Source organism: Homo sapiens, chromosome 13, assembly GCF_000001405.40.
Source record: "Homo sapiens chromosome 13, GRCh38.p14 Primary Assembly".
Taxonomy (NCBI): Eukaryota; Metazoa; Chordata; class Mammalia; order Primates; family Hominidae; genus Homo; species Homo sapiens.
The window spans coordinates 67,752,027-67,760,103 of record NC_000013.11 but is presented as its reverse complement, the minus strand read 5'-3'; the positions used below and the strand labels follow the sequence as shown (position 1 = coordinate 67,760,103).

The 8,077-nt window shown below is 36.4% G+C and overlaps 1 annotated feature.

The window, feature by feature from the left end:
- Window positions 4,993-5,287: a silencer, noted in NCBI's record as "tiled region #9294; K562 Repressive non-DNase unmatched - State 24:Quies". NCBI's record gives its function as "represses a minimal TATA promoter and a strong SV40 promoter by Sharpr-MPRA in K562 cells {active_cell/tissue: K562}" and the evidence as "EXISTENCE:reporter gene assay evidence [ECO:0000049][PMID:27701403]".

The window sequence follows — 8,077 nt, the reverse complement described above, 5'->3', positions numbered from 1 at the left end:
ATGATTAAATAGATCCTAAAAATGTCTTCAATACCATGTAGGTAATAATCATATAAAAGTAATTTAATAGGATACTAATTGAGATTCAATTTTATAATTGAAAATAAAAATGTAATATTAAGAATATAGTTAACACTTTTTTCATTATCACCATGAGATGTCTAATTAAAATTCTCTCTTGATGATTTTTTAAACTTTTATTCATGTAGAATAGAAAAGAGTAAGAAAAGAAAATACCATTTGAATATATTTTTTAAACTAGATATTTATAATGAATTTTCAAAGGCCTCTTCACATTGACCTAAATCTATTATGTAGAATATTTTGTTATTTATTTAATATGTAAAGCACAATGTACATACTTTGCTAAATGTCCCAATTGAGGAAAATAAAATAAATAAATTTCTGACTTTAGTAATTTTGCTTAAGTATAGAAAAAGAGAAAGCCATAGTATTTTAATAGTACACAAAAGCTATTTGATATGAGTTTGATGGTTTCATACTCAAATAGAAACTACCAGTCAAGAAGTTAGAAAATATGGTATTAGAATTTTAATGTGTTGTTTTTTATTTTTAAAATTTATAAGGCAAAATATATGAGTGGCTTTGCTCTGTGCATTATAAGTACTAGAATATCTGCTCAACATTTGAATGCATATTTCATTCACATCTATTGTTTCTATCAAGTTTTCCAACACGGCCTCAAAGCTGCTGAATACAGGTTTAATTCCAAATTTCATTTCTTTCTAAATTGCACTATCCTTAAGCAATGCATCATCATCACAGGTCATTGCACCGATGAAATTAATCTGATAAAACACCTGTGTGACAGAGAAAATGATATATTAGTGTGATTCATCATTAATGAACATCATCGGCCCATGATCTATTAGTGTATTGCTCAAAGGATGGTGTCATTAGGAAAGAGTGAGTTCCCAGTGTTAAATTATGGTGTAGAAGGCGGTAGCTAGAGCGTGTCATAACCTATGAGGCAGCAAGTAGATGTGCCAATACAAAATCAAATTCCTTAGAACTTTTTTTTAATTTAAAAATGTCACATTTGCATCTTTGCTAATAACGTTTAGTGCCCAAGGGCAAAATTAAGTTTGTCTTGATAATTCAACTACTATTAATTGCTTATACATCCTCTATAAATTATATTATTTATAAGGAAGACTCACATATGCTTTATTACCAATGAAAAACACAAACAATTTTATCTGAAGATAAAGTACAGAAGAATTTGGAATATCTATGAAAAAAATTCTGCAAAATTGTCTCTTCTACTTATTTAAGCATAAATGTGGCACCAACGATACCTCAAGTGACTAGTTCATTATTTTCAAATTTAGTAGGAAATCATCCTAAAATGCCTTTGGTTGAGTAATCCCACCAGGAAACTTAAAATAAGTTTATTCAAGATAAAGTTAAGATCTGTGTGTGTATACAATAGAATTTTAAATTAGAGATTGATAAATAGGCAGCTAACATAAAAAATATGAAATAATCTAAATAAATTTTTTATATAAACTTGACTAGTTTGCTCTATTGGTTTAAAATAACTTTAAAATGTGACTGAAGGTTCAAAAATTGTATTAATATGAACAGAGATTGAAAACTGTACCTCTATCAAAAATACACCCTCAATGAGGGAAAGAGTTTTATTTGTTTAATTCATTGTTTTATCTCTATTATAGACTAGAGACCAGCACATGTTAGGCTCTAAAGTATTTCTCTAATTACTTAACTCATTTAATGTAAAAAAATTTTCAAACAGATTTAGATGCCTTAGATCGTGAATACATTTGAATAGCATCTGTATTCATGTGGTTTGAACCATAGTTTAAATGAGTCTCTTCCAAATGCTAAAAGTACCTTGTTGATACTGTCATTAATTTTCTTACCTATATGAAAAAAATGTTTATATTCTTTCATTGTACTCTTATAGATAAAGAAGCGACCACATGAAAACTTGAAATAGTCCAGGCAGGCATAGTTTGAGAGTAAAATGTTTATCAATTTTATGAATGTTTATGAATCAATTTATGATTCATATTGCTAGCAAGAAATAGTAAATAACCTTGTTGGAATTTTCAGTAGAGAGAAGATGGTACTTGCCCTCTGTTTTTTTACTTGCCCTTTCTTCCAACTAACTACAATTATAAACCTTTGAAATAATACTACAGGCAAGCCAAAAAAAAAAAAAAAAAAAGAAAAGAAAGAAAGAAAAGAAAAAAGTTGGAATGCTAATAGGAAGAGGATTAACTGGTTTTGCATCCCAAAACTAGAGGAACGACGGAGTGACTGGAGGTATTATATACATATACATTCATCCACCAGAAGAAGGCTAACCAGAGCCAGTGTTTCTCTACCCCAACTTTGAAATAGAAGGCAGTCCATGTAGGTCCATTATTTTTCCCAGAGAGAATGGGAGCCCTTCCAAAAACACTAGACTTGTTTGTAAACACATCGGGAAACTTTGTAACTATAAGGGGCCAGGGGAAGCGTTCTTCTTCACTACAAAGCCTGAGACTCTATGGTACGGGAACAAATACCAAGGCAGATGGGACTGCCAAGAGAGGCCACAACAACAGCCTTGCTGAGAAGCCTCAGTGGCCCCCTGAGCCTCCCTTCCCACCCTTCACTAGTGATATTGGGGTGAGCAGGATGAAGCCTGGGAAGGAACCAGTTGGAACAAGTAGCCTAGCTCTCATCCCTCCTAAGCAGAGGGAATCCTATAATAAATACCTGGAGAGAGTCTTCTTAGGCCTGATACTCCCTCCTCTAATGGGGAGTCAATGGCATGAGTATGAGGAACTGGCATAGCTGGTAGGCTGGGCCAGAGAGTCCCCTTGTTTCTTTGAGTCTGAGAATCCTCTCCTCTGTCTAGACACCTGGGGCAACAGTGGGCCATTTGTATGAAAATTCCACACAGCAAGCCTCTGACTAAAGAAATATCTTCATCTCCCAGGACCTGAGACTCTCTTCCCCAACAGAGAAACACCCAGAAGTCCAGCTCAGAAAAACTCCTTCTGCTCTGTCAGGGAGCAAACAGGGAACAATAGATGCCCTAAAGGCATCAGATAAACCAAGCCACACAAAATAATACCACAAAGACTGGAAAACTAAACTGCCATTTGAACCAGAATCCACAAAAGTAAGCCAGGATCTAAATGCTAAACCTAACAGAATAACTGCCTTCTAAAAGGAAAGAAATAGGACGTAGAGTCTCCTAACATAATAGACAAAATGCGCCATATGCAATTAAATCTCCTGTCATACCAAGAACAAAGAAAATTATCCTTTAAATAAGAAAAGATAAACTGTCATGAACACTGTGATAGATTAGATGTTTGGAATTATATGCCATTATAAAATGATCCAACAATCAATTGCACATTTTCTTGAAATAAATGAAAAAATAGAGAATCTCAGCAAAGAAATAGAAGTTAATTTTTAGAGCCAAGTGGAAATTATGGAACTGAATGATACATTAACCAAATTTTTAAAATTTGCTGGATCAACTCAGGAATAGATTAGAAAAGACAGAGAATAGAATCAGTGAACTTGATCGAATATACCCAGTTCAGAATTTACCCAACCTGAACAAAAGGAAGGAAATAGATCAGGAAAAAGATGAACAAAACTGCACAAACATGTGGGACAACAAAAGATATAACATTTGTTTCATCAGCTTCCTGAAGAACATGGAAAGAGTGTGAGACAAAAGAATACTGGAAGAAATAATGGCTTGGAAACTTTTCAAGTTTGGTTACAACACACACATACACACACACACACACACACACACACACACAGAGTTACAGCTACAAGAAACTTAGTGAAATTCAAAGGCATTACAGGCAAAGAAATTTATACCAAGAGATAACATAGTCAAACTTCTGAACATTTTGAAAGACAAAGAAATAAATCTTGAAAGCAGCCAGAGAGAAACAACTCAAAGAGGAATATAGAATGTAATGTCAGCAGATTTCTCATCTGAAACCATGGAGTCCAGAAGAAGTCCACATTTTTCAAGTGCTGGAATAAAAAGAAAACAAACCAAACAAACAAACAGGAAAAACCAGCCCTGTCAACCACAAATTTTATATTAGTTTAACCTTCAGGAATGAAGGGGAAATAAATATATCTCAACTTAAGGAAATTTTTAAAACTTTGTTGCCAGCAGATCTACTCTTATAGAGTGGCTAAAGGAAGTTGTTTGAGCAGTGTATTAGTCTGTTTTTATGCTGCTCATAAAGACATACCTGAGACTGGGTAATTTACAAAGGAAAGAGGTTTAATTGATTTACAGTTCCACATGGCTGGGGAGGCTTCACAACCATGGTGGAAGGCGAATGAGGAGCAAAGTCACGTTTTACATGGTGGCAGGAAACAGAGTGTGTGTGCAGGGGAACTCCCATTTATAAAACCATCAGATCTCATGAAATTTATTCACTATCAGGAGAACAGCATGGGAAAGACCCACTCCCATGATTCAGTTGTCTCCCACTGGGTCCTTCCCATGACGTGTGGGAATTATGGGAGCTACAATTCAAGATAAGATTTGGGTGGAGACAGAACCAAACCATATCAAACAGGCAGGAAATGATAATTTTGGAGCATCAGGAAGAAAGGAGAAATTATAAAAAGAACAGATACATGGGTATATAAAACAGACTGTTTTTTTCTTTCTGCATTTTAAATAACCTCACTCTACTGCTCCACCTCACCTCTGTTCACTATAATTTAGTATCCTTGGTTCTCTTTCCTTTCTTAACTATGTCAACCTCATTCGTACCCTGGGTAGGGCTTTTGCACAAGGTGTAAATACTGTGTGAGGAACTCTTCCTTCTCTTTTGTCCACTCCTATCCCTCTGCAAACCAGGCCTTGAGATGGAGCAGAGACTCCTATTAAGGGCTTCCAGGTCCCCCAGTCATCGAATAAAGGAAAGATCTTGAGTCCCTTCCAGGGAAATTTCAGGCCCCTAACTAGTCTTGAAAAGTAAATGAGCAATCTGATAAGAATGAAGATAGTAACTGGGAAAAGAAAATAAATCTTGGGGCCCCCAAATCACTGAGCTAAACAAAAAAGTCAAGTTGGGAACTGCTTAGGGCAAACCTGCCTCCCATTGTACTCAGTCACCCCTCTGTTCACTGAAATAGATGCATATCTGATTGCTTCCTTTGGAAAGGCTAATCAGAAACTCAAAGGAACACAACGCTTCATCTCTCACCTATCTGTGACCTGGAAGCCCCCTCCCTGCTTGGAGTCTTCCTGCCTTTGCTTCAAGTTGCCTTGCCTTTCCAAACTGAACCAATGTACTTCCTACCTATATTGATTGATGTCTCATGTCTCCCTAAAATGTATAAAAACTAAGCTGTGGCCCAACAACCTTGGGCACATGTCCTCAGGACTTCCTGAGGCTGTGGCACATGCACGTCCTAAACCTTGGCAAAATAAACTTTCTAAATTAACTGAGACTGATCTCAAATTTAAGATTTTGGGAGTTCACATAACAATAGTCTCCCAAGCAAAACACAGCAATAAAAAATTTTTTCTTAACATGTTTTCTTGAGCTGTTTTTCAGAAACTTTCACCAGATGGAAAATGCTGACTGCCATATCATAGACCACAGATAACTGAGAACTGACTACTCAACTCTGATTGCAGTTCTTTGTTCTACATTTCTTTCTAAGGGCCCTAAAGAGGGTCACACCCATAGACCAAACCAATGTTCAACCTATGTATCCTGTGTATTGGTTTAATACTTTGCCTACAACTTTGGCTTTCCTGAGATGTATCCCTGCCTTTAAAATCTCTTGCTTGTAAACACTGGGGAGTTTGGGTCTTAAGCCTTAGCTGTCCATTCTTCTTGCTCAGTACACTGGAATAAGTGACCTTTGTTCTCACTGCAAATCTTCCAGTCAGTGCCTGGCTTTACTGTGCTGGGTGAGTGAACCCATTAGGTATGGTAACAGCATTTCCAACTTTTGATCTAAATATCAATTTTCAGCATTTCTCAAAATATTCTATGTAAGGTGAATCATTTATTGATTTAGTTTATTTGTTGGTTTTCTAAATCCAGATACCGTTATCTCCTCAATAACACTGTTCTCATTGGTAATTATGTGTGAATTTAACTAATGTTAGTTGCCTCACTAGACCATAGGCTCCATTAAGGTATAGTTATTCTGATTTGTTTATTGCTCTGTGCCAATGCTCAGATGAAGCCTTGGCATGTAGTGATTCTATCTTTGCCTATCCTACTCCATTCCCCTCTTATGTAAAGCTTTTCTTCCATCTGCGCTTTGCTTCTTTTTCTTCCAAATCCTTGGGAACTACACAATTTTTCTTTTAAAAATAATCTCTTTTCCTTTACTAACTCTTTCCTATTAACTTTTAAATCTTTTCAGTTGGCCCTCAGTAAAACCAAACCAAGCTCAACTAAATCTAAACCCCAGATTCTTTACACTTGTCCAGCACTGTTCTTTTCTTTCACAGCCACATACCTGTAGGGAGCTGCCTGCATTTGCTGAATCCCACTTAGCCATCTGCTCATTGAATATCCAGTTCCCATCTAGCTATAAAAACAACATTGCTAAAATAATTATTACACCTGTCAGTTAAAAAAAAAAATAGGCCTTCTCTTATAAGACCTCTCAGCAATGTTCCGTGTCTGATCTCTTCCAATTTGGAGATATCCACCCTGGGTTCTCATTATTTCTCTAACCCATTTTCTTATTTACTCACCTTCCTCAACCTAAACATTAAATTTTGGATGTCTCCAAGTATATGTTTTAACACCATTCCCAAGCTCAGCATGCAAATACTTAAGAAAATTTATACCCACAGCTGCAACAACTGCCTAGATGTAGATTTTTCACAGACATGTTGCTAGTGTGTAATAAAATATCTGGCTGACCATTGTGCCTGGTTCCTGGATGGCATCCTCAAAATCTTTGAAATTTCCTGACTGATAGTTGTGACTTTATTATTCATTATGAGCTGTTTGGAAGACACTTGATGGTTAATGCAAATCAGGGTGGATCCTTAAATAGTTTATGCAAATTAGATAACTCAGGATGAGACCTGGCCATACCAGAAAGACCAGCCATGTGATTAGAGGATTGAGACATTGAGACAAGAGTCATCAGTCTCACCTCTGGAGAGGAGAGGAGAGCTGGAGTTTGAGCCCTGTGACAAATGATTCAATCAACATTACCTATGTAATAAAACTGCAATAACAACTCCGGATCCTGAAGCTTGGAAGAGTTTCCCTGGTTGGCAGTACTCTGTATTGTCACACATCAGTGTGCTGGGAGGTTAATGTGTCCTGATCCCATGAGGAGAGACAACAGAAACTTCATATTTGGAAACTTCCAAGACCTTGCTCTGTGTGCCTTTCCCCTTGGCACATTCTGATTTGAATAGTTTTCCTGTAACAAAACTGTAATTATAAATTTAGAACTTTCCTGAGTTCTGTGAACTCTGATACTAAATTATTGGACCTGAGGAGACATGGTTTACCCCAAGTTAGTAGCCAGCTGGTCCAAAGTGAGAGTGGAGTGTGGACCACTGAACTAGCAACTGGATGAACAGTAGTCTTGTGGAGGACTGTGCCCTTAAACTGTGAAGTTTGGCCTAAATCCGTGTAGTTGGCATCAGAAGTCATGGCAGGTAGCTAAGACTCTTTCTTCCATATAAAATAATTAGGTTCAACTGCCAACTAATAACTCTTCTTAAATAGCTGAAAGCCACCAGTTATTCTACCTGTGCCAACTAAATTTATGTTCTTTCCTTCCCAGTCTGTCTTTTTGCAGAGATGCCTGTGTTATTTGAATGATTTTAACACCTATGGACTACCCTATGAAAGAAGAGATGAAGTCTTTCTACACTAGTCCCATTCTTTTACCCAATCCTCCAAATATCTACTTTTGTGTTTTGAAGTTGAACTATTTACCTCGAGTGTATTTACCATGGCTATTTGCGTAAATAGGCATCATAATCAAGTTACTATTTTTACTCATTTGGATTTCTGTCATAGACACTTAGATGATTTCACTGTTTCACACT